General features: G+C 42.2%; 1 protein-coding gene across 1 annotated transcript in view, besides 3 other annotated features; it reads left to right on the top strand.

Moving 5' to 3' along the window:
• Nucleotides 1-17,655, top strand: part of WDFY1 (WD repeat and FYVE domain containing 1) — a 69,988-nt gene extending 52,333 nt beyond the window's left edge. Inside the window, exons 9-12 of the mRNA NM_020830.5 lie at nucleotides 8,254-8,355; nucleotides 10,931-11,061; nucleotides 12,771-12,879; nucleotides 14,273-17,655. Coding sequence (NP_065881.1) covers nucleotides 8,254-8,355; nucleotides 10,931-11,061; nucleotides 12,771-12,879; nucleotides 14,273-14,332 — 402 coding nt within the window. The 3' untranslated portion in view covers nucleotides 14,333-17,655. The remainder of the gene's footprint in view (nucleotides 1-8,253; nucleotides 8,356-10,930; nucleotides 11,062-12,770; nucleotides 12,880-14,272) is intronic.
• Nucleotides 8,293-8,382: an enhancer, noted in NCBI's record as "active region_17176". NCBI's record gives its function as "activates an Ori minimal core promoter by ATAC-STARR-seq in GM12878 lymphoblastoid cells {active_cell/tissue: GM12878}" and the evidence as "EXISTENCE:reporter gene assay evidence [ECO:0000049][PMID:35858748]".
• Nucleotides 10,374-10,873: an enhancer, noted in NCBI's record as "H3K4me1 hESC enhancer chr2:224746847-224747346 (GRCh37/hg19 assembly coordinates)". NCBI's record gives its function as "activates a minimal SCP1, AML or CMV promoter by ChIP-STARR-seq in naive H9 embryonic stem cells {active_cell/tissue: H9 hESC(naive)}" and the evidence as "EXISTENCE:reporter gene assay evidence [ECO:0000049][PMID:30033119]".
• Nucleotides 10,874-11,375: an enhancer, noted in NCBI's record as "H3K4me1 hESC enhancer chr2:224746345-224746846 (GRCh37/hg19 assembly coordinates)". NCBI's record gives its function as "activates a minimal SCP1, AML or CMV promoter by ChIP-STARR-seq in naive H9 embryonic stem cells {active_cell/tissue: H9 hESC(naive)}" and the evidence as "EXISTENCE:reporter gene assay evidence [ECO:0000049][PMID:30033119]".
• Nucleotides 17,656-26,811: the final 9,156 nt, after the last annotated feature.

Here is a 26,811-nt window from a genome sequence, read left to right as displayed (position 1 = left end):
TTACGATGTTGTTAGCAAAAAAGTTGATTCCAGAGAAGATTTTAGATCATGAGGGATGTTAATGACTTATAGTTTAACTTCAGAAATATTTGTTGGGCACCTACAGGGTGTCCTTACAGTCGGGAAACTCAAGTGAATGTATTTAATAAATGGCTTATTGATATTGCATTGCAGTACCTACTGTGTTGCATGACATCACATGATCTGTTCAGTATCCTGTCCTTTATGGCAATATGTTGTTCAGTGTGCTGTGCACCATTGTAATAGACATTATGCGTTGATGCAGAATTCCCACCAGTCCCTGCACATGTGTCTGCTTTGTGTTGTCTCTGATTCTTTGTGAGTCTGATTCTCACTGATTAAACCTTCATTTTTAGCATATTCCAGTAGAAGTGATCAAGGGGCTTTCATCTATTTTTTTTTTAAATGGTGACATTACTCATTTCCAGACTTTATGGCTACTGTACACAAAGATACTTGCCCACAAGAAATGTGTAATCTAGTGGAAGAAATAGACTACCCTATAAATAATAAAATGCAATCCATAATACAGAGACGTACTGATTGTGAGATTTTTTGGTAACTTTGTAAGACAAGTCAGATAGAGGAAATTTGGATTACATGTCTGCTGGTTAATTTCTCTTTTTGAATTTTCTAAAAATTATTTGGTAAGGCTTAGAATATTTTATTATTAAACACAGATACATTGGCTCAATAGTATAGGATGTGGCCAGCGCAGTGGCTCATGCCTGTAATCCCAGCGCTTTGGGAGGCTGAGGTGGGTGGATCACCTGAGGTCAGGAGTTGGAGTCCAGCCTGGCCAACATGGTGAAACCCAGTCTCTACTAAAAAATATAAAAATTAGCCAGGCATGGTGGCAGGTGCCTATAATCCCAGCTACTTGGGAGGCTGAGGCAGGAGAATCACTTGAACCCAGGAGGCAGAGGTTGCAGTGAGCCAAGCTTGCACCACTGCGCTCCAACCTGGGCGACGAGCAAAACTCCATCTAAAAAATATGTATATATATATATAAATTATAGGATGCATAATACTATATTTGCAAAGATTTATTCGAACTGTGTTTTACGTTTATCAGCTACTAGTTATATGCAGCAAGAAAAGCTAGTAAACTGTTCTTGGCTCTTGGCCTATTATTTTTCAGTCTTATTCTGAGAGAGCGGAAAACTCAGAGAAAGGCTGTATTCCCTGGATGATGAGGGGAGGAGACTGTTGGTGCCCAGCACTGCTGGTGGCTTTCCCGAGGGTTTCACAACTTAGATTTTAACCTGCTCTTTTTATCGTTGGTAAATTCTTTTAGAAAAAGTACTTAGAAAGTAGAAGTGGGATTCCTACCGTCAAAGTGCATCACTGTGGAGTGTATTTCTCTATCTAGGGAAAGAAAAAATAGTCCCATCAATCAAGGCATTTCCTGTGTGCACAATTCACTGCGTCTGTAGAAGAGACAGGAAGGCAAATTGTGTCAAAAAGATGCATTATTTTTAGTGGGTTTTTTTGTTTGTTTGTTTTTTAATAACTGAGAAAATGTATTGCAAGGATAAACAGGCTATAATCTATAAGGTTCTGACCCTGCCTTAGGATTTTTGGGCTTTTTTTTTTTTTGAGACGGAGTCTAGCTCTGTCACTCAGGCTGGAGTGCAGTGGTGCGATCTCGGCTCACTGCAACCTTCGCATCCTAGTTTCAAGTGATTCTCCCACCTCAGCCTCCCAGGTATCTGGGGTGACAGGCTTATGCCACCATACCTGTACCTGGCTAATATTTTATATTTTTAGTAGAGACAGGGTTTCACCATGTTGACCAGGCTGGTCACGAGCCCCTGACCTCAAGTGATCCGCCCGCCTCAGCTTCCCAAAGTGCTGGGATTACAGGCATGAGCCACCGTGCCTGGCCTTTAGGGTTTTATAGGACTTTCTTAGACCAGGGCATAGAGGATTGATCCCAGATCCTCTAGCTCTGCAATGCTTGCCTGGAATTTCTCTCCAAGTCCCCTGTCAATACTAACTGGAGCATTTACTACCCACTGTGGCTTCAACCACTACGCTGTCGAGTTGGAAGCAGATTTGCTTCCCTGCCAGATCATAATGAGAAGGGATCCTTTTTTGGAAGTAGGCACAAAATATAAATGAGGAAGTAACAATAATTAGAATGAATCTTCTTGAAAAGAGAACTTTATTTTAAAACTAGTAGGTTACAGAATGTATAGCATTTTATATACTAGTGCAGTGTGACGAGTGCAGCAGTTAGTGGCAGTAGAGCAATGGAATTTATTCTTGCCATATCTTTGTTCAGATTTGGCAGGTGCAAAAAGATGGAGAAAAGAGAGTGAAGCAATTATAATAACTGATTAATACTCTCTCTTGCTCTTCTCAGCACAAAACGAAAGCTTCTTCTTAGATAATAAGTATAAGGATGGCTCATGTTAGCTTACAGTGTAATGCTATATTCTGAGTATTAAGTGAAATAAAGTTAGGGGTATCTCTTATATTAAAATATGTTCTAAAAAGCTATTTGTTTCTGATTTTGATTTTAATTTGTTATCTCAAATTTTTTTAAGCATATATTTTTGTCACTGCAACCTCTGCCTCCTGGGCTCAAGCGATTCTCGTGCCTCGGTCACCTGAGTAGCTGGGACTGCAGACATGTGCCACCATGCCTGGCTAATATCTGTATTTCTAGTAGAGACAGGGTTTCACCATGTTGGCCAGGCTGGTCTCGAACTCCTGGCCTCAAGTGATCCACCTGCCTCAGCCTCCCAAAGTGCTGGGATTACAGATGTGAGCAACTGCGCCCAGCCAAAGTAATATTCTTTCTTAAACCTGTAAACAGAATCATGCTCCCTGAGGCAAGAGCTCAGATCTGTAGGTTGCCCTAGCCCAGGACCATGTTTGGAGACCCCCATAGGTAGAAGTGGATAGGCCTCATATACAGAGGCTGTGTGGAGCATAGGGATACACAGAGAGAGGCAGGCTGGACTCCTGGATCTGCCCAGGATCTGCGTGTACTCATTGACAGTTGCTTTAATCTCTGAGCCAGTTTCTTTGCCTGTAAAATAGGGATAGTGTTGCTCGGTATCTCCTAGGACATAATGAAAATTAAGTAGAATAAAAAAACATGAAACACTTGGCACATTGCCTGGACTTAGATGTCACTTATTGTATGCCACGTAGTATTCTGAACACTTCCCAAATATTAACTCACTTAATCCTCACAACCTTATGAGGTATATACTACTGTTATCCCATTTTACAGATGTATTAGTCCATTCTCAGGCTGCTAATAAAGATATGCCTGAGACTGGGTAATTTATAAAGGAAAGAGGTTTAATGGACTTACAATTCCACATGGCTGGGGAGGCGTCACAATCATGGTGGAAGGTGAAGGAGGAGCAAAGTCATGTCTTACATGGAAGGCAAGAGGGCATGTGCAGGGGAACTCCCCTTTGTAAAACCATCAGATATTGTGAGACTTACTCACTACCAGGAGAATAGCATGGGAAAAACCCACCCCCATGATTCAATTACATCCTACTGGGTCCCTCCCATGACACATGGGGATTATTACAATTCTAAGTGAGATGTGGGTAGGGACACAGAGCCAGACCATAACAGTGGATAAGGAAACCTAGGCACAGAGAAGTTGAGTCACGTGCCTGAGGACACTGCTGACAAGTGGCAGAGCCAGGATTGGAAGGCAAGAGATCTGACTCCTAGACTTTGTGACGACTTGCTACGAACCACTTGCTATGAACCACTTGCTATGACTATTAGAAATGAATTGAGAGGCCAGACACCGTGATTCATGCCTGTAATCCCAGCATTTTAGGAGGCTGAGACAGGTGAATCCCCTGAGGTCAGGAGTTCGAGACCAGCCTGGCCAACATGGTGAAATCCCAACCCTACTAAAAATACAAAAAATAGCCAGGCATGGTGGCAGACACCTGTAATCTCAGCTACTTGGGAGGCTGAGGCAGGAGAATCACTTGAACCCAGGAGGCGGAGGTTGCAGTGAGCCAAGATCACGCCATTGCATTCCAGCCTGGGTGACAGAGCGAGGCTCCATCTCAAAAAAAAAAAAAAAAAAAAGAGTTGAGAATTTAGGCCAGGCACGGTGACTCACGCCTGTAATCCCAGCACTTTGGGAGGCTGAGGCGGGCAGATCACTTGAGGTCAGGAGTTTGAGACCAGCCTAACCAACATGGTGAAACCCCATCTCTACTAAAAATACAAAAAAATAGCTGGGTGTGGTGGTGGGCACCTGTAATCCCAGCTACTCAGGAGACTGAGGCAGGAGAATTGCTTGAACCCGGGAGGCAGAGGTTGCAGTGAGCCGAGATCATGCCAACGCACTCCAGCCTGGGCAACAAAGCAAGGCTCTGTCTCAAAAAAAAAAAAAAAAAATTGAGAATTTAAAAATGGCTTATCTGTATTTATTTTTAAAATCCTTGCTTGAAATTGAATCACTTGAAAACATTAAAATATTAGGAAATCCATTGATGTACTGCTTAACAGACATTGCTGGAGATAGAGGCCTTTTGTGTTAAAGGAATGCTCTGGGTAATTGAAACATAATTCAAATGCCAGCCCCTTATGAAGACAATCACTTTGATGAAAATGTACAGCTGGGCACAGTGGCTCACGCCTGTAATCCCAGCACTTTGGGAAGCTGAGGCAGGCAGATCACTTGAGCCCAGGAGTTCAGCCTGAGCAGCTTGGAGAAACCCTCTTTGTACAAAAAATTTGCTGGGTGTGGTGGTACATATCTCTAGTCCCAACTACTAGGGCAGCTGAGAGGAGGGAGGATCGCATGAGACAGAGGTTGAGGCTGCAGTGAGCCATGATTGTGCCCCTGCAGTCCAGTCTGTGTGACAAAGCGAGACCCTGTCTCAAAAAAAAAAGTGTAAATTTAATGTAATTTACTAATTTCTTGATGATGCAGTTTCACCATTCTGACCACAAATGTTGCATGTGTGTTTCATGGTAATACAATTTTGTATTTGTGTAGAAAACTATTTCATGTAGGACTGAGAACGTTTTTCCTGAAACTATGTTCTTGCCTTCAATTCTACCCACCTTAGTCCCTTTAATCTGTTATGTCCTAGGAAACAAATTTTAAAAATTTGTGGATCAAACCAGGCCAATAATGTCATAAATGAGAGGCTAAGGGGGGAAAATGCAGACATTTCATTCAGTGATTTTTCTTTATTTTTTTTAACCAAATTTTAACTCAAGAAAAATAGAAAATTTAATCCTCCCTCTGTTTTGGTTGAGAGCGAGATTTCTGAATTCCAGACCAGTAAAGTTTAAGATTTTTATTTTAAGTAATACTTAATAGACACTGTGTGTTCAAGGAAAATAGAAAATCCAGCCATTAACTGTAGACAAAAGAAAGAAGTGAATTTCTAAAGCACTGAGCAATAATGGGCAAGTTTGCAAGTCAGGTCTTTTTTACACTTAATGTTTTTGTGCACTAAATTAAACATCGAATTCCCTGCTGCTAAGTATGGAAAGTATAAACGGGAACAAACTTTCATCTATTAGTCTGTTTCCATTAAAGCCTTCATTGTGTCGTCCTTAAAGCATATTAGCCCTTACTGAAGTTGTTTGGAGATGGCTTAGTGAATACATTTTTGTGCTGCTTTTTGGTCCATGTGACTGTGGTTTTGCAAGAGTTACGCTTGGGCATGTCCCAGACATAAGAACTTTCCTTCTTCCGGCAATTAAATACCCTGTGCCATTGGCAGCACAGCCTGCTGTGTCTCTCTTAGGGACAGTGTCCCCAGGTAGTATCCCCACACATCACCAGCCTCCATCACCACCTGCCTTGCATTGATCACAGAAACAAAGAAGTAATTCCATATCAAGAAAATAATCTTTCTCACATAGATACACATCTCTTTATTCTTCTTTCATCCCTTCTCATCTCCAACATTCCCCAGTTATTTAAGGAAACCTTTCTTCTATCTCAGCCTATTTCAGTCTACTTGTGAGTGCCTTCTGCACCCCCACCTCAAAAAAAGGCCTTTCTAATGTCTGTTATATGTAGAAATATTTCTAGTGACCGATCTAAAATAAGAAATAGGAAGGCCAAAAGTTTTGATGCAATAGGAGAGAAAATGAAGAACTAGGGGCACCCATCGTTCAAACCACCAAATATATTAATATATATTTTAGAAAAAATATTTTCTACTATTTTTGTTGCACATATATAATGTTAAGTGATTGGGGTTAAACAGGCTTTTTTTTTTTTTTTTTTTTAGACGGAGTTTCACTCTTGTCGCCTAGGCTGGAGTGCCGTGGTGCAATCTCTGCTCACTGCAACCTCCACCTCCCAGTTTCAAGCGATTTTCTCTCCTCAGCCTCCTGAGTAGCTGGGATTATAGGCATAGGCATGTGCCACCACGCCTGGCTAATTTTGTGTTTTTAGTAGAGATGGGGTTTCACTACATTGGCCAAGCTGGTCTTGAACTCCTGACCTCAGGTAATCCGCCTGCCTTGGCCTCCCAAAGTGCTGGGATTACAGGTGTGAGCCACTGCGCCCGGCCTAAACAGGCTTTTAGCAGGTTTGTCTTAGAATTGAGTATAGTTTGTAATTTTTTGTTTAGAGAAATATTTTCTAAGTTTTTATTTTGTTTTGTTTTGTTTTTTGAGACAGAGTCTTGCTCTTGTCGCCCAGACTAGGGTGCAATGGCATGATCTTGGCTCACTGCAACCTCCGCCTCCTGGGTTCAAGTGATTCTTCTGCCTCAGCCTCCCAAGTAGCTGGGATTACAGGTGTGTGCCACCACACCCGGCTAATTTTTGTATTTTTAATAAAGACGGGGTTTCACCGTGTTGGCCAGGCTTGAACTCCTGACCTCAGGTGATCCATCTGCCTCGGCCTCCCAAAGTGCTGAGATGACAGGCGTGAGCCACCACACCTGGCCTATTTTCTAAGTTTTTTAACAAATTAATTTTGAGACTGCTTCCTCTGTTTCAACAAAAATGCATTAAAAACCTACTGTGTGACAGGCTGTGGCTAGATCAAGATGAATAATACCAAAAAGTAACTCATTGGTTAGAGGGGAGAAGAAACGTGCACCAAGAGTTCCAGTACCAGAGCTTGCTGCTCAGTGAAGCTGCAGGATGCCTGTGTGGCCCCAGGAGGGAGGGACGTGCTGCTGTGGCTGGGAAGGGAAGGGGGGCAAATCTGCCGGCATAGTCCCTACCCAGAGCAACTAGGTGATGGGGTTTTGTCAGATCTCTTCTGTTAGTCACCTGTGACCCCGCAAGCCTTTCCAAGTGGTAGGTCACCAGATTCTGCTGCATGCACTGGGTTTCTACTCAACTGGATTTAGAGTTCAAACATCTTTGGCATAAAAAAGAAATACATAAAGACAACCCTTAAGGGTTCACAATAAAAACTGATTTACTCCCTCCTATCTATAGATTACAAATTGAACACCCTGTAACCATGGCTAAAATTGCCATGATTACTCGGCACACAGTTAAGGCTGGGCGCAGTGGCTCGTGACTGTAATCCCAGTGCTTTGTGGGGCTGAGGCAGAAGGATTATTTGAAGCCAGGAGTTCAAAACAAGCCTGGGAAATATAGTGAGATCCTGTCTCTACAAAAAAATAAAAATAAAAAATTAGCTGGGCATGGTGACACTCACCTGTGGTCCCAGCTATTCGGGAGGCTGAGGCAGGAGGATCATTTGAGCCTGAGAGATCAAGCTTGCAGTGAGCCATGTTCACGACACTGCACTCGAGCCTGAGTGACAGAGTGAGACCCTGTCTCAAAAAAGACCCCCCCCCACACACAATTAAACATAATATTGAATATGACAACTAGCTAGAATATTTCGTGGAATTAAAAAGAAATGCTAACTGGCCGGGCATGGTTGCTCATGCTTATAATCCCAGCACTTTGGGAGGTCAGGAGTTTGAGACCAGCCTGGCCAACATGGCAAAACCCCATGTCTACTAAAAATACAGAAATTAGCCTGGAGTGGTAGTGCATGCCTGTAGTCCCAGCCACTTGGGAGCCTGAGGCAGGAGAGTCACTTGAATCCAGGAGGCAGAGGTTGCAGTGAGCCAAGATCACACATACTGCACTCCAGCCTGGGAGACCAAAAAAAAAAAAAAAAGAAGAAAAGAAATACTAACCTTGGCAAGGTCTAGAACTGTTGTATTAATTTTGAAACATGGGAGTAAATATAGACACACTGATGGTGGCTTTGACTTTCTGCTCCCCCAGGCTCCTCAGTGGTTGGAAAGTGATTCTTGTCAGAAATGTGAGCAGCCATTTTTCTGGAACATAAAGCAGATGTGGGACACCAAGACGCTGGGGCTAAGACAAGTGAGTAGCCACTGTCGAGTCATCTCTGGCTTGATTGTGTATTTCACTATTTGCATACTTAATCTGGGGTTTTTTTGAAACACACTTTGTTTTTGCAAATGCTATTAATTCCTACATTTTCTATGTCTTTATCATTGTGTGACTAACAATGAGGAAGACCTTTCCCAGGGCCAGTGAGACTGTTACCTCACTTTTCCATTGCTTGTCCTGTATTGGAAAGGCAGGGGTGCGTAGAAAATCCTGAGAGCCTATTTTTAAACAGATAAAAGATCTTTCAGTTTAAGACTATTACTTATTAAAGTCAGTGTTTTATGCTAGCCAAGAACAAAATTAGAATAAAGTCATACAGTTATATACCTTATGCTGTCACAAACAGATAAAAAGTAATAATTTAGTCCTCACTTGAATGCCTGACCCTATGAGTTTTAGATTATTTTAAATTGTTCCCTTATAAGCATACCTGGAATATTTTTATTAAGCATGTTTTGAGTACTGTTTTTTAAATTTTTTAATTAAAGAAATATGTTCCAAATAGCCTGTAGATTTTAAAGGTGCTGTTAAAGGATTCTTGTAATACTAAAGTTCTACAAAAAAAAAAAAAAGCAGGTAAGTAAAAAAGAATGCTGATTTTATTCCTTTTATTATTGGTTGCATCTCTATGAGCGATTAGCCTAAAGTTTGTATGTGTTAATAAACTTTTTTGGCCCTGCATGGTGGCTCAGGCCTGTAATCCCTGCACTTTGGGAGGCCGAGGCAGGTGGATCACCCGAGGTCAGGAGTTTGAGACCAGCCTGGCTAACATGGCGAAACCCTGTCTCTCCTAAAAATACAAAAATTAGCTGGGTGTGGTGGCGGACGCCTGTAATCCCAGCTACTCGGGAGGCTGAGGCAGGAGAATCACTTGAACCCAGGAAGCGGAGGTTGCGGTGAGCCAAGATCACGCCACTGCACTCCAGCCTAAGTGACAGAGCGAGACTCCATCTCAAAAAATAAATTAATTAATAAATAAAATCTAAAAAATTTTACTCAGAGATACTCCACAGTAAGGTCTCATATGAGACTGGCAGGCAAGAAGGGAATTATTAGTGCTCAGACCATTATAAAGCTCTGAAATAGCACCTGAGTTCTGTCTGTCATTAGCCAAGTTCTCACAATGCATGGCTGATGGTAATTAGTGCAGTATAATTAATAGGTGAAGTATTCCCTACTTCTAAAGGAAACACAGAGAAATGGATTTTACTTCCATTTATTAACAGTTAACAGAAGAGAGAAGAGGTGCTGGTCACTAAACTTTTGGCGGTAAAAGAATATGTCAAAATCAGTAATAATAATTGGACTATTTTGTAATGTTCTTGAGGCTTATTTCCAGAATCACAGTTTGAGAGATTTTAGAAAATAGCAAAATACATGATTATGGGCATTAGTTTCTTAATGAGAGCATAGTGCATTTAAAACTTATTTTAGACCGGGTATGATGGCTTATGCCTGTAATCCCAGCATTTTGGGAGGCCAATGTGGAAGGGTGGCTTAAGCCCAGGAGTTTGAAACCAGCCTGAGCAACATGATGAGACCCCGTCTCTATAAAAATAAATAAATAAAACTTATTTTAAAACCCTTTAGGCTGGGCATGGTGGCTCACACCTGTAATCCTAGCACTTTGGGAGGCCGAGGCAGGAGGATCACTTGAGCCTAGGTGTTCAAGACCAGCCTGGACAACATAGCAAGACCCTGTCTCTGCAAAAAAATCAAAAAATTAGCCAGACATGGTGGCAGACACGTGTAGTGCCAGCTACTTGGAAGGCTGAGGTGGGAGGATCGCTTGAGTCTGGGAGGTCAAGGCCGCAGTGAGCTGTATGCCATTGCACCTTTGCATTCCAGTCTAGGTGACAGAATGAGACCCTGTCTCTGAAAAAAAAAATAATAATAATGCCTTTTTTATGATGGAGGAATAAATTTTTCTTTCCCTAAATCTACAGTGATTAGGCTCCTAAATGAACTAAATTTGTTGTTAATAATATTGTTTGTTAACATGTAGACAGATAATATGAATGAATGAAAAGCAACATTTGACCAGTACAGCAAAGTTTTTTGGAAATCCTTGACTAGTGTCAGAATTGTCTATCTTGTGAGTGTTAATTGATACATTGAATTGGGGTGATTGCAATTCAAGGCATATCCTCCCCGCTCCTGTTGCCCTACTTTAGAGGGAAACCATGTGCTTTAAAGCAAAAGCTAGGCCAGGCGCAGTGGCTCACGCCTGTAATCCCAGCACTTTGGGAGGCTGAGGCAGGTGGATCATGAGGTCAGGAGTTCGAGACCAGCCTGACCAAGATGGTGAAATCCCATCTCTACTAAAAATACAAAAATTAGTCAGGCGTGGTGACAGGCACCTGTAATCCCAGCTACTTGGGAGGCTGAGGCAGGAGAATTGGTAGAACCCGGGCGCCAGAGGTTGCAGTGAGCCGAGATCACGCCACTGCACTCCAGCCTGGGTGACAGAGTGAGACTCTGTCTCAAAACAAAACAAAAAGCGAAAGCTAACACCCTGTTTTCCTCCTCCCGGTCACCTGTGAAGCATCACTGCAGGAAATGCGGGCAGGCTGTCTGCGGGAAGTGCAGCAGCAAGCGCTCAAGTTACCCAGTCATGGGCTTCGAGTTCCAAGTCCGGGTTTGTGATTCTTGTTACGACTCCATCAAAGATGAAGAGTGAGTGTTTGCATATTTTTGTCTCATTGCCTCTTATTACATCTGTCTAATGGTTCTCTGAAATGTGAAGAGCTTCAGAAGTGATAGGATATGTTTAGCCATGTGTTTGTTTCTCCTGAATTTCCTAAGCCATTTTATTTGTTGTTTGTTTTTTGAGACAGAGTCTTGCTCTGTCACCCATGCTGGAGTGCAGTGGCGTGATCTCGGCCCACTGCAACCTCTGCCTCCCGGGTTCAAGCGATTCTCCTGCCTCAGCCACCCGAGTAGCTGGGATTACAGGCGCCCCCCACCACCTGGCTAATTTTTGTAGTTTTAGTAGAGATGGAGTTTCACCATGTTGGCCAGGCTGGTCTCGAACTCCTGACCTCAAGTGATCTACCCACCTTGGCCTCTCAAAGTGCCAGGATTACAGGCGCGAGCCACCGTGCCTGGCCCCTAAGCCATTTTTGAAGAGAGGACCTGCCCTAGCTTTATGACTTAAGACCATGACTATGCATCTTAAGTTGCCCCTCTGACTGGGCAGCTTTCTCCTGAACACAGTGAGGAATGCTAAGTTACATGGTCCAGTAACTGAGTGGATACCCTGAGCCTCTGCATCCCACTGGCTGCTATGCAGGGATAAGTCCATGCACCTGTGGATGGCAGTGGTTGAGCTGGTTCTCTATAAAAGTATCCAGTGCCCAGACCTTTGTTCACACATGCATGTAAATTTACTGGGAAAACTCTAGAGACCAATGTTCTTTCTTCCACAGAAATCTGGCCTAGCAGTCTATTCTTAAATTGCTCTTTGTGTGTAAGACACATCTGTTTGATACCCCACTCTGCCCTGACTTTTAGGCAAATCCGTTAGGACAGAACCACTATTTTCTTTCCTTCCCTTTGAATCATCTTTTAAAGCAGCAGAGGCAAATGTTGGCAGAGGTCCACATTGGAAAGCTAGTGCATCACGACTGGTGTTGGTAAATGAACTAGTGATGGGATTGGGGCAGCTGGGCTTTGAAGCGGGTGCTGTAAGAGGCACTGCTCCTGTGCATGGCAGAGGTTTCAGGGAAAACGGCAGCTCTCTGATGTTTTGCCCATGCTGTATGATTTTATTCAATGCAGTTCTTCTTTTATATTGAAGATTCTTGTTTTTATATCTAGGAATGTATCAGCCTTTCCAGTAAAAAAAAAAAATCAGTTATTTTGGGAATTTTATAAAACAATCTTGTGATTTAACATGCTTTCTGTCATCATTAAATTATAAGGTTAGTTTTCAAAACCATAGCCACAATTTTAGGAGCAAATTTTAACACTATTATCATAAGCATTTACTTTTTTTTTTTTTTTTTTTTTGAGACTGAGTCTTGGTTGATCACCTGGGCTGGAGTGCAGTGGTACAATCTCGGCTCACTGCAGCCCCCACCTCCCAGGTTCAAGCGATTCTCCTGCCTCAGCCTCCCGAGTAGCTGGGATTACAGGCGTGTGCCACCACACAGAGCTAATTTTTATATTTTTAGTAGAGACGGGGTTTCACCATGTTGACCAGGCTGGTCTTGAACCCCTGACCTCAAGTGATCCACCCGTCTCGGCCTCCCAAAGTGCTGGGGGTACAGACATGAGCCACTGCACCTGGCCATATTTGCTTATTTTATGTTGCTAAAAAAGCTTACCCCACTAGCTCTAGGTACAGTCAAGTAAATTTTCAGTGATCTCTTTTCTCTTGTTAGTCGGACTTCTCTAGCGACCTTTCATGAAGGAAAACATAACATTTCCCACATGTCCATGGACATTGCCAGGGGACTGATGGTGACCTGTGGGACCGACCGCATTGTAAAGGTAAGCTGGCTAATTGTCTGTCAGCATCTCAGTTGAGATTGCCTATTACCATGCTGTGAATGTGCAGGAGACAGTCACTCTTTCTGACTGGCAAGCTTTATAAGCAAATGATTGCCAGTTTAAAACCTTGAGTAACAAATTGCTTGCCTCTGAGTTTCCATGCATTCATTGGTGGTCAGTCCCAGTGGCACCTCCCTCTGCAGTGTCTGTCTGGCAGAGTGAGTCTGGCACCCTGTATATCCCTATGGGTGGAGTTGACCTCTGGGTTCTCCCTTGCTGGCCTGGGTCCTCACCCCTGACCCATCTCAAGACATTCCTACGCTTGCCAATGTTCCTTTTCATCCTGGGCAGAATGCGTCCTCAGTATAAGGAATAACCACACATTTTAACAATTAAATCCCTGGGTCACTAACACATAAATTGAAATGAAGTGTTTTATACTTAGTACCACTCTTTTTTTTTTTTGAGATGGGTCTTGCTCTGTTGTCCAGGCTGGAGTGCAGTGGCACAGTCACTACTCACTGCGGCCTTCACCTTCCAGGCTCAAGCAATCTTCCCACCTCAGCCTTCCAAAGTAGCTAGAACTACAAGTGCCTGCCACCAGGCTTGGCTAATTTTGGGGGGATTTTTCATAGAGATTGGGTCCTACTATGTTGCCCAGGCTGGTCTCAAACTCCTCGGCTCAAGCGATCCTCCCATCTCAGGCTCCCAAAGTACTGGGATTATAGGCATGATCCACCATGCATGGCCTAAGTACCACTCTTCAGTGGTGAAACTGAGATATTCTATATTCCTGATGGGCTTTTCTAAAAAAAAAATTGAATTTATACTAAAACATTATTATGATTTAATTTTTATGTGTAAAGACACTACCTATATGCTTTATTCACATTTTAGTGAACTACATTGTTTTATCTTTCTGAAAATCTTTTTGTTTGAGACAAGGTCTCGCTCTGTCACCCAGACTGTAGTGTAGTGGTGTGACCTCGGTTCAGTGCAACCTCTGCCTTCTGGGCTCAGGTGATCCTCCCACCTCAGCCTCTTGAGTGGCTGGGACCACAGGCATGTGCCACCACACCAGGCTAATTTCTGTATTTTTTTTGGTAGAGACAAGGTTTTGCCACGTTGGCCAGGCTGGTCTTGAACTCCTGGGCTCAAGTGCTACACCCGCCTCGGTCTCCCAAAGTGTTGGGATTACAGGCGTGAGCCACCGTGCCCAGCCACCTGGCCTCTTTCTATAAATCTTAAGGAGGTGTTATGAAAGAGGAGAATGAGAAAATTCATTAATTTGACACCTTTTCAGGTTTAACAGTCGTTTGTTTGTCTGTGTTGACTCTTGCCGTTAGACCTGGTTATCACTGCTGCCTTTTCTGCGTTTCTTCCTTCCTTGTAGATCTGGGACATGACACCTGTGGTGGGCTGCAGTCTGGCGACTGGGTTTTCTCCGCACTGATCTGAGAGCTGGGCGGCGTCCACACCTAAGAACAGCAGCTCCACCAAATGAAGTCCCTCTCACGCAGCTCCACAGCGCTGTCTCGTGAATGGACAGTAGCCACTTACAAACAAATCAACATTTTTAAAAAGAAAATGTAAAGGTGTGTTTTGGGGCATTTGTGGAACTTACCCATGGGGACTAATATGGAAAAGGTCTGTCCATAGTGGTTCCCTGAAGACTGGAATTACTTCAGCAAAACTTCCCCATGAACAGCTAATGTGTAGTGAAAGAATGAGCTAGCAAATGAGTTTTAGCGGGGACAAAAAATCAAACAAAAAAGTGAATGCTTAGAACCTTCTCAAAGCAGTCACAAGTACAGACACTTCACTTAGCCTAGGGGGCCTTCCAGGGTTCTTGTGGCTGTTGTCAGAGCAGGAGCTGGGGGAGGGAAGACTTGTTCTCTCTTTCTTGAGGGGTGGCATTAGGAACTTACGAAACCAGAGACCTTTCCCTATGACTTGGCAGTATGTGAATATCCTCTACACTTAGTTATTGATAAACTTCTTAAAGAGATCTGTTATTTTCAGGTAGTGCCATAATCTGCACTTAGCATTGGCTTGCTTCAGTTGTTTCTCTTCCCAGCCAGTATGCCACAGGTGAACTTTCGGGGTTGTCATTAAGTAAGTTGTGAAATTTCTGTAATAACAAAGGCAGTCCGCATTCTTCCCTTTCCCCCAAATTCCTAGGGCAAAACTTTTTTATGGTGCTGTTAACATGGGAGTCACACAAGCCGCCTGACTTTTTCTCATTGCCATTAGTAATGACTGATGGAAAACCCAGCCACCACTGTGATGCGAAATGATCAGTCTGTTGCCTGAAACAGCCCAGTCCTCTTAACTGAAACAGCATTCTACTTCTTGTTCCAAGATGAGCCTCTGCAATATTCTGGCAATTTAATATACCCCCTACAAAAGCACTCCACAGCTTTTACACTATTTTGACTTTGAGTTATAACTAGTATTATTCATGTTTTCATAAAAAGAAGTTAGTGACCCAGAGCTATAATCATCCATCAAGTCTTCCACAATAATTCCCAACTCATAAATTGCTTTCCTAACAACTAGCAAAAGCTATTGTTCATAATGGCATTTCTAAAGCTTTTGGGCACTGTGTACCAGGATGAGGAAGAGAAGAAATGAGGAGCCTGTCTTTTAATATTCCAGTATTTGTGTGTTTGATTTTTTTTGACAACAGTACATATATCTATTTCTCTAGGGATATGGAAGTAAGTGGAGAAGGGCCTACCTTTTTAAAGGACAAATATAAAAATAGCAACAGTATCTTTGCTAATCTTACTAATAGATATTGATTAAAAAAAAAAAACCTCAGTACTGCATCACTGTGTTGGGATCATACCAGGACAATAGGGTCATTCCATATGATAAAACTAAAGGACTAAATTTGTTTTATAATGATGTCTTAGAGGGACTGAAAGGTTTAAGGAGGCGATCAAACTAAAATGTCTTAATGGCTGTGTGACACACGTAAGGAAAGGAAAGGGGGTCACGCACATCATGTACTGGAATGATCTGCATTAAACATAGACTTGTCTTCAGAAATAAGACTGAAGGGTTTTGTTGTTCCTTAGAGTTTTCGTGTTACATCACCTAAAGAGATTTCTTTTAAAAACTTTCTAGACTCTTTGCAAAATGTATATTACTAACATAGTTTGGAAGAAAAATTGAGTAGTGGTAAGTTTTGTTCAAGCACAATGTTGAATGTTAAGCTTCCTGTATTAATTTTAGTTCAGTTAATGGTTCAGCCCATACAAAGGTGCTATCCTAGGGATTTTATGAATTCCTGAAAGGAAAATAGAATATGATCAATTCCTTGCCCTGTGGAAGAGTGCAGAACTGTGGTTTTGTTTTCCTTTGACTTCTGTAAAATGTGACCGTTTGACATCTGTGGTAGATTGAACGGAATATCACAGCTGCTGAGTTTACTCCATAGCTTTCAAACCTTTTTTATTTTAAGAAATTCTTGAAAAACCCTATGTTCCATGGGAACATAAAGTTATTATAGTGCCTCCTAAGGGGTTAATATAAATCAAGGAGGAAGTTTATATTTAAGGAAGAATTGGAGTGACGTATCTTAGAAAAGGAAAGGCTGATGTTTCCATATAGCTTGCTCTCCACCAGGCCTATCATTTTTCTTTTTAGAGACAAACGTGACAGGCTAGTCTTGTCTCTCTCATATGCTAGGTAGCAAATGGGGTGATATTTTTATAGAAGTGGGCAAAAATTATTTTCTCAATTTTACTGAGTAGGCACAGAAGAAAAGTACAGATAGGCTGATGGTTATTGCCTTATTTTGACTGCATTTCTCTTAAATGGATCATTTAAATTAGTTCTTCAAGTAACAGTTTACTGGTTGTTCCATTCCTGAATATGCAGGCTAATTTGTACAGATAGGGATTAAGGAATACAGACTATTAGAGAAGATCCTTATATTTACATCTAGTATATATGTGGTAAGGAAATGCCGATTCTTCATTATAAACAAGTTTTAAAATTGTTCTTTCTTAGTTCAAATGATAGCAATACCCCTATAGCATTAGGTAGAAACAAATTATTCATTACATCGTAAATCTCTTTACTATGTCCTAGCTCTGTCCTGCTACCTAAAGGATATAAAGAAATACTATTGCTCTAGAATGTATTACTTTGTTCTCCCATGAAAGAATTCAGTTTGTTAGTACCTATATTTTTAAACTGGTGAAACTGACCCAAATATGTAATAAATACCATAGTAGCTCAGACCCAAGGAGATATTTTTCTAAAATCAGTTTTCGTTAAAGTACTTCTACTTCCGTTATTGGATATGGTATCTCCTAAAGTGTAAAAAAAATCTGTTACTATATAGTGATAAACCATCTGCTCATCGTAAGTGTAAGGCTTAACAAATAAGTAATACATGCTATATTTATTCAAGTGTCTATTGCTTAATTGTTAATTGTGAGCAGATTTATTGAATGCCTATTCTATTTTCTGCAGTTTACAATACAATAACTCTTTGAGTAAGTTGAAGTTTAATTGTGCAACAAATTTGTATTAGAGTACAATTTAAAGTGTTTTTCTCTATAGCCTTTTTTGACTGGGGAAGCAAGGGGTAATGTTAATTAGTACACTTTGTTCTTGTACTAGCTATGTTTCTATAAGATATGGTGCCCTGTGTATCCCAGAGATGCTAGAAAACTGTTCTTTGCTCCTATTTGTGGGTTCTGTTTTTGTGGGTTTTTTTTTTTGAGAAAATGTACACAATAAAACATTCCTTGCTTGTTACTGTGTTTGCCTAATATCACTTTTGTTGTAGTCAGCCTGGACGTAGGGCAATAACAGTAGCAACCATTTATTCAGCACCCTCTGTGTGCTGGGTGCTTTCACTACATTATCTTACTCAATCCTGGCAACACTTGGGCAAGGCATCATTCCTCCCATTTTACAGATGAGAAAACCAAGAGAATGTGTGTTATTAAGTCTGCCTTTCTGTCTTGAAAACACATGCCTTCTTCCTGCCTCTGGCCTGAATGTGCTAGCATGTCATTTGTGCTGTCTGTAAGGGTGGTGGGTATTACTGTCTCTGCCGCTTGAGGTAGCAGTCAGCATAGTGCAGGATATTTAGGCGCTCTGACTACACAGAGCTATCTAGTGATAACAAGATCAAGCTCTACTTCTCCTCAGCAGCTCAGTTTTGTGAGTGAACACGTGTGGTTCAGACCCAGAAGAACTGATACCTCAACTAAACCAGAGATTGATTTAGAAACCAGAAAGGCAGTGAATAGTATGTTTTTCAAAATAAATATGGCTTTCTTTTCTCTCATCATCAAAATATTATCTTATTATAATAAAAAGAAAAGGAAGCTGGGCGCGGTGGCTCACGTTTGTAATCCCAGCACTTTCGGAGGCTGAGGTGGATCACGAGGTCAGGAGTTCCAGACCAGCCTGGCCAAGATGGTGAAACCCTGTCTCTACTAAAAATACAAAAAATTAGCCAGGCATGGTAGCAGGCGCCTGTAATCCCAGCTACTCAGGAGGCGAGGCAGGAGAATCGCTTGAACTCGGGAGGCGGAGGTTGCAGTGAGCTGAGATCGTGCCACTGCACTCTAGCCTGGGCAACAAGAGCGTGACTCCATCTCAATAAAATAATAATAATAAAAAAGGAAAAGAAAAAGATAGAACCAAAAAGTATAAAACAAGTTGTTTTTAAAATCATCTCATCCCACCACCTGGAGAAAACACCATTAAACTTATCCTGTATATCTTTCCAATGTTTTTATAAATGTCTCCTTACATATGTAACACACACTTAGAGATACATTGTTTTAATGGGACCATACTTGTTTTCCCACTTGATACATTATGGATAGTTTGCCCGTGTCAAAAAGTAGAACTCCATGTTAGTATTTTTTATGGCTGTGTAGTTGCAGTAGACATTTGCTCCTGCCATCATCTGGACACATGTTGGGATCCCACGTCTCCATTTGAGGTCAAGAAAGGCCCTTGTAACTTGCTTTAGCAAATGAAACGTGGGCAGAAGCTCTTTACTGCAGGTGAGCCTCTGGTACCATGACACTTTCTTCCATGCCCCTCATGAAGCATGTGTTGGTGAAGTGTGACGCTAAGCCATTCTACAGATCACAACCGCTCTAGGACTGCAGTGGACTTTGCATGATCGAGAAATAAATCATTGTTTTAGCCCACTGTGGTAGGGGTGTGTGGTGTGTGTGTCAGGGATGGGAGAGTGGCTAGGGATTTGTGTGTGTGTGTCTTACAGCATAATACTAGCATGTATAGCAGTATCCCATTGTCCTATGTGGCTAAGCCATCATGCATTTTACCAATCTCATAAAATTAGATTATATATGTTTAGATTATCATTGTAATTAAAACACTAAATATTTTTCAAATTTTTACATTTAAAAATATACAAGCTCAGCATGCTTATATGTTTATCTTGCCCACTTTTCCAATTATTTTCTGAGGATAAAGTCTTAAAAAGTGGGAATTGCTAGGTCAGAATATGCATGTTATTAAGTGTTTTATTGTTATTGATAATATCCTCACACTATTGCCAAGATTTGAATTTGTGTTTTTGGATAGGCGATAAAAAGGTATCTCTTATTGTCTGAATTTATGGAATGGCAGTTACTTTACAGTGAAAATAATATCAATTTCCCAAGTAGAAAACTGGAAATTCTGAGGCCAAAGTCCAACCTCCTTTTCTAGTAACCCCGTATTGCAAACCAATTATTTACTTCCTATATTCTCTAAAGACCAGTGATTCTTAGTTAGTGTTTTATGATACCGTATTTTCTTTATTTTGAAATTTTTTAAAAAAATTATGCTTTAAGTTCTGGGATACATGTGCAGAACATGCAGGCCTGTTACATAGGTATACACGTGCCATGGTGGTTTGCTGTACCCATCAACCCATCATCTACATGAGTTATTTCTCCTAATGCTATCCCTTCCCTAGCCCCCCACTCCCCGACAGGCCCCAGTGTGTGATGTTCCCCTCCCTGTGTCCATGTGTTCTCATTGTTCAACTCCCACTTATGAGTGAGAACATGCAGTGTTTAGTTTGCTGTTCCTGCATTAGTTTGCTGAGAATGATGGTTTCTAGCTTCATCCATGTCCCTGCAAAGGACATGAACTCATCCTTTTTTATGGTTGCATAGTATTCCATTGTGTATATATCCCACATTTTCTTTATTCAGTCTACCATTGATGAGCATTTGGGTTGGTTCCAAGTCTTTGCTACTGTGAACAGTGCTGCAATAAACATACGTGTGCATGTGTCTTAATTCTTTCTAGAAAGTACATTTTATTTTTTATTTTTTGAGATGAAGTCTGACTGTCACCCAGGCTGGAGAGCAGTGGCGTGATCTCAGCTCACTTCAAATTCTGCCTCCCGGGTTTAAGTGATTCTCCTACCTCAGCCTCCTGAGTAGCTGGGACTACAGGCGCATGCCACCATGCCTGGCTAATTTTTATATTTTTAGTAGAGACAAAGTTTCACCATGTTGGCCAGGCTGGTCTTGTGATCTAACCTCAAGTGATCTGCCCGCCTTGGCCTCCCAAAGTGCTGGGATTACAGGCATGAGCCACCACCCCGGCCTAATTTTTATCCAAAATAGATTAACATTAATGCACAGCAAGGAATGGAGGGGTGTCCCAAAATTGAGCTAATAAATTTGAAAGAACTTGGGACTCAGTCTTCTAGAGTATGGCTGTTAAACCTATGATGCTCTTAAAGGACTTTGTTACTTAAATCCTCCTAATAGGGATATTATCTCTTCCTATAATATTGAGAATAGCCAATAGCTTTGCAGACTCTACCATGAAAATCAAACACAACTAATAAAAGTTACAAAACAATCACATGATTTTAGTATTTCAAAACTCCAGGTATCATTCATTTATTAAATAAATGTGATATTGAGTTTTGGCAAGATAATAGCAAACAACCAGATTTTTTAATAGCTGTAGATTTCTTTGGTTAATTCTGTGATATTAAGTTTTGCAGGCTTGCATAATTTGTTGAATTCAAAATACCTTAACTCGACCAGGCACGGTGCTTCACGCCTGTAATCCCAGCACTTTGGAAGGCCGAGGTGGGCAGATCACCTGAGGTCAGGAGTTCAAGACCAGCCTGGCCAACATGTTGAAACCCCGTCTCTGCAAAAATACAAAAATTAGCTGGGCATGATGACGGGTGCCTGCAATCCCAGCTACTCAGAAGGCTGAGGCGGGAGAATCACTTGAACCCCGGAAGCGGAGGTTGCAGTAAGCTGAGATTGTGCCACTGCACTTCAGCCGGGGTGACAGTGCGACACTCGGTCTCAAAGCAAACAAACCTTAACTCAGAGAAAGAAAAATTGTTTTTGAACAACTTCACATTTATTTAAATGATTCTTCTAGATCCACCACATGCTTAAACTCTTGTGAGACTCGACCCATGCATGATAATGGCCTGTAACCTGCATTTCTGCTCTAGCTTGGAAGCCTCTGGAAGACAGGGGCTGGTCTTATCCTCAGTGTCCATCACACAAGACCTGCTCAGTCCCTGATCTTTAGACCTTTGATTTAGATCTTGTTTTCATTTATTCCACAGATTGGAGAGCAAAACTTGATATGTTTCTTCTCATGCTTTGAAAATGCCACTTTAGGCTGAATGTGTGGAAAGTTCTGTTGTGCAATTTTCCTCAAGCTGTTGGGGATAGAGGAACTCATTAAAGAGCAACTTTTATAATTAGGAACATCTGGTTGAATGAACCCACTGTGGTGTTAGGAAGAAAGGGAGGGGAGAAAGAAAACATATGGTCAGGCAGAAATTTGTTCATTTCTGGAGTTACCTGTATAAAAACAATTCTTTGCTCAGGTGATTTGAGGACTTTATTTCTAAGTTATTCATGTACTTTATTTTTTATTTATTTATTTATTTTTGAGACAGAGTCTCACCCTTTTGCTCAGGCTGGAATGCAATGGCGCAATCTTGGCTCACTGCAGTCTCCACCTCCTGGGGTCAAACGATTCTCTAGCCTCAGCCTCCTGAGTAGCTGGGATTACGGGCATGTGCCACCACATCTGGCTAGTTTTTATATTTTTAGTAGAGATAGGGTTTCACCATACTTGCCAAGCTGGTCTTGAAATCCTGACCTCAAGTAATCCACCCGTCTCAGCCTCCCAAAGCGCTAGGATTACAGGCGTGAGCCACCACGCTTGGCCTATTCATGTACTTTCATATTTCTTGTATTGTCAGGTATATATTATCTGTTATCTGAGGGAGTCATATCAGCCGTTATCTGTCCAACGAATATCAAGTTGCAACTGTGCGCCGACAACATAGGCGAGCTTGCCAACATCAACCTCGGCACAGGCCTAAGGGCACTACCTTCCAATAGACCCTCAGAACAGCCGCTTCTCACCATTCTGCTGCTACTACCATGGGGCAGCCCACACTCATCTATTCCGGCAGCCCCCTGGATTAGTCAGGGTTCTTTAGAGGGACAGAACTAATAGGATCGATAAATATATGAAGGGGAGTTGACTCACACGATCACAAGGCGAAGTCCCATCATGGGCCGTAATAGGTCTGCAAGCTGAGGAGCCAGGAAGCCAGTCCAAGTCCCAACCTCAGAAGTAGGGAAGCCGACAGAGCAGCCTTCAGTCTGTTGCTGCAGGCCCGAGAGCCCTGGCAAATCACTGGTGTAAGTCCAAGAGTTCAAAAGCTGAAGAACTTGGAGTCTGATGTTCGAGGGCAGGAGGCATCTGGCACGGGAGAAAGACAGAGGCCAGAAGATTCAGGCAGTCTAGGCCTTTCATGTTCCTCTGCCCGCTTTTATTCTAGCCATGCTGGCAGCTGATTAGATGGTGCCCACCCAGACTGAGGGTGGGTCTGCCTCTCCCAGTCCACTGACTCAAAGTTACCCTCCTTTGGCAACACCCTCACAGACACACCCAGGATCAGTACTTTGCATCCTTCAATCAAGTTGACAATATTAACCATCAGCCGGGCATGGTGGCTCATGCCTGTAATCCCAGCCCTTTGGGAGGCTGAGGTGGGTGGATCACGAGGTCAGGAGTTTGAGACCAGCCAGGCCAACATGGTGAAACCCCGTCTCTACTAAAAATACAAAAATTAGCCGGGTGTGGTGGTGTGCACTTGTAATCCCAGCTACTTAGGAGGCTGAGGCAGGAGAATCGCTTGAACCTGGGAGGTGGAGGTTGCAGTGAGCCGAGACCACACCATTGCACTCTAGCCTGGGCAACAGAGCAAGACTCTGTCTCAAAAAAAAAAAAAAAAAATTAACCATCACACCCCCTAACCAGTCTCCTTGTTCCTGCCCCTGCCACTATCAGCTTGTTCTCAATGCTGCTACCAAAACGTGACTCAAATCATGCCATTCCTGTACCAAAAAAAACCTTCACAGCTCCCATCCCATTCATAGTGGAAGTTCCAGTTCTAAAATGTCCGTCATTCTCTCTCTGGCATCTCTCACTAGTCTCCCTGCTGACTCCTATCAAGCCACATAGTTCTCCGTGTTATCCTCCCTCTAACTTCTATAAGGACAGGGAATTTGTGCCTACAACAACATGAGCACAGTGTCAGGCACATAGTAGGCACTTAATACATAATACTGCTTGTATATGTAGAATTTGGGTGCTATATGCATAAATGAAAAGGAAATTATGTGGATTTGCTTAGGGAGTGAGCCTGTAGTGAAAGTTTTGAATGGCTGTTCCCCCACCATGATTATTCCTACCCATCCCACTACACCTGCCAAGCTATTGTCCCAATCTCCAAATGCGGAAAGGAGCATTTAAAGGAAGGTTTAGGAGAGATTATAAAGGATAAATACATGACGGATGTGATGAGATTTTTCTTGTCTTTCTAAAACATCAGACTCCAGTTCTGAGGGGTCTGTTCATCATTAAGCTTTCTTTAAGACAACTCCACTTTGCAGCTTATGTTTGTGTGTGTGGTGTGTTGGTTTTAAAATATTTCTGCAAATGTCTATTTTTTATTTTTTGAGGCAGGGTTTTGCTCTGTCACACAGGCTGGAATGCAGTGATATGATTATAGCTCACTGCAGCCTCAAATTCCTGGACTCAAGTGATCCTCCTGTATCAGCCTCCCATGTAGTTGGGACTAGAGGGATGCACAACCACACTCAGCTTTAAAAAAAAAAAAAAAAATTTGTGGAGACAAGGTCTCACTGTGTTGATAAGGCTGGTCTCAAATGCCTGGACTCAGCTATTCTACTGCCTCAGTCTCCCAAAGTGTTGGGATTACAGGCGTGAGCCATCACACCCAGCTCTGCACAGTTCTTATTTATTTATTTATTTTTGAGACGGAGTCTGGCTCTGTCACCCAGGCTGGAGTGCAGTGGTGCAATCTTGGCTCACTGCAAGCTCCACCTCCCAGGTTCATGCCATTCTCCTGCCTCAGCCTCCCGAGTAGCTGGGACTACAGGCGCCCACCACCACGCCTGGTTAATTTTTTTTTTTTTTTTTTTTTTGTATTTTTAGTACAGACGGGGTTTCACCGTGTTAGCCAGGATGGTCTCGATCTCCTGACCTTGTGATCCGCCTGCCTCACCCTCCCAAAGTGCTGGGATTACAGGTGTGAGCCACTGTGCCTGGCCTAGCCCTGCACATTTTCAGACCTTCCTTCCACCTACTGAGTGGTGGGGTCTGTGTGTCCCTCCCCTTGAATTGGGGCTAATAATCACTCATAGAATCACTAACAGAATATGGCAAAACTGACACTGTGCGATGTCTGAGGCTAGATTAGAATATGTCATGCAGTTTCTATCTGGCTGTCTATGGGAAGCCAGCTGCCTGAGACCACCAGGTGTTCTGGTTGACAGCTGAGCTGAGTTCCCAGCCAACCACCAGCAGCATCAACTACCAGCCATGTGAGTGTGCCATCTGGACATCCAGCCCCACTGAGCTTGCAGTGTGGTTGCAGATCCAGCCGGCAATGGTTGCAGATTTCACACAACAGCATGAAAGGCCCCAGGCGAGGATAGCCCAGCTGAGCTCTTGAATTCCTGACACACAAAATAGTGATCAAAATAAAATGGCTGTTTTAAATCACTAAGTTTTGGAGTGATTTGTTACACAGCGATACTAACCTGAACAATAGGCCCCTGGTCTCTTAATTCCTCATCTTGGGGGCAGAGGGCAGAGCAGTTTTCCAAGCAGAAAAAGTGATGTGGTTAAGGAACCTGCCCAACCTACTCAGTATGGAGCCAGGATTCAATTCCAGCCCTTATTGGCTCCAGCGTGTGCTTATTCTTTCTGCTAGAGCACTCTAGAAACATTCTTTCTCAACTGGAAGCTAATATGCTGGCATTCTTAGTATTTGCTGCTTTTGTTTTGTTTTGTTTTGTTTTGTTTTGAGTTGGTGCTTCCACTCTGTCACCCAGGCTGGAGTGCAATGGTGCAATCATGGCTCACTGCAGCCTCAAGTGATCCTCCTGCCTCAGCCTCCCACATAGCTGGGACTACAGGCGTGCACCACATGCCCAGCTAATTTTTGTATATTTTGTAGAGACAGGGCCTCCCTGTGTTGCCCAGGCTGGTCTTGAGCTCCTAATTTCAAGTAATCTTCACAGCTGGCCTCCCAAAGTGCTGGGATTACAGGTGTGAGCCATGGTGCCCAGCCTGCTTCTTTCTTATATTTATTGCTGTCTCTATTTAAGTCAGAATTAACCGTTGCTTAATGGATGTCACTGCCTTCTGAATTTCTCCTCTTCCATATCAATAGATATTTCAATATCTTTATATCCACAGTCCACTTAATTCATTTACCCATTTATTCAGTTTGAATGGTCTCTGTTCTTGTTGTTTATTGTCTGGTATAGCTTGAACACATTGCTACTTAAAACTGTTAAAGCCAGGTTGCTTTTTGGTGCTAACTATAATTTTTAAATTGTAGATAAATAATTTCTAACTATAAGTATTTAAATATCTATGGTTTCCAAGTATTGGCGTGTAAATGACCAACCTGTAGTTTATCTGTATTTTTGCTGTGTTGACTTCTGAACCATTATATTTATTTTTTACATTTTTTACATTTTTACATTTATTTTTACATTAATAGCACCAGATGTTCTGTTAATCAGGAATGCCAGATAAAATATGTTTTTACATCTTGCTAGACTTCTATTAATATTACATGGACATATTTAATAGAACAAAGATATTGATGAAATGTGGAAATGCGAGCAGCTTAGGCCACATGAATGAATGCCTTCTGCTAACATCTTCAGCCTTGAGCATGTGGGGTGTGGGGTGGGGGAACTAGTCTGAAATACTTGGTTAGATGCCTTTATTGTCTATTGAGAAGAGGGGCTACAGACATTTTATTATCCCATTGTGGAAAGCCATACCAAATATTTTATTTTAGAAGGGTGGAATGTGGGCTGAGTGCGGTGGCTCATGCTTATAATCCCAGCACTTTGGGAGGCTGGGGAGGGAGGATGGCTTGACTCCTGGAGGTTGAGGCTGCAATAAGCCTAGATTACACCACTGCAGTCCAGCATGGGTGACAGAGTGAGACCCTGTCTCAAATTTTAAAAGAAAAGAAAAGAAAAGAAAAAGAAAGAAAAAGAGAAAGGAAGGGAAGAAAGAAAGAAAGAAGGAAGGAAGGAAGGAAAGAAAAGGAAGAAAGAAAGAAAGAAAGAGAAAGAAAGAAAGGAAGAAAGAAAAGAGTAAATAGAAGAGTGACATTGTCCACTGAGAGCTCTGTGATTAAGAAAGCCAGTAAGTATAGTACTTCCTTTGGCATGTGGGCTATGTGCAAATTACAACGGCTTCAGAAAACCTCAAGGCTTTTCAACCTTGGCTTTTTAGTTTCAATTACAACTTAAATTCAGTGGAATCCTGTTCACCTTCAGTCACTCTCTGGTATCATCAAATGGTGCAAAA

This window comes from Homo sapiens, chromosome 2, assembly GCF_000001405.40.
Source record: "Homo sapiens chromosome 2, GRCh38.p14 Primary Assembly".
NCBI classification, from domain to species: domain Eukaryota; kingdom Metazoa; phylum Chordata; class Mammalia; order Primates; family Hominidae; genus Homo; species Homo sapiens.
The sequence above is the reverse complement of the archived record's forward strand: the minus strand, read 5'-3'. Positions and strand labels throughout refer to the sequence as shown.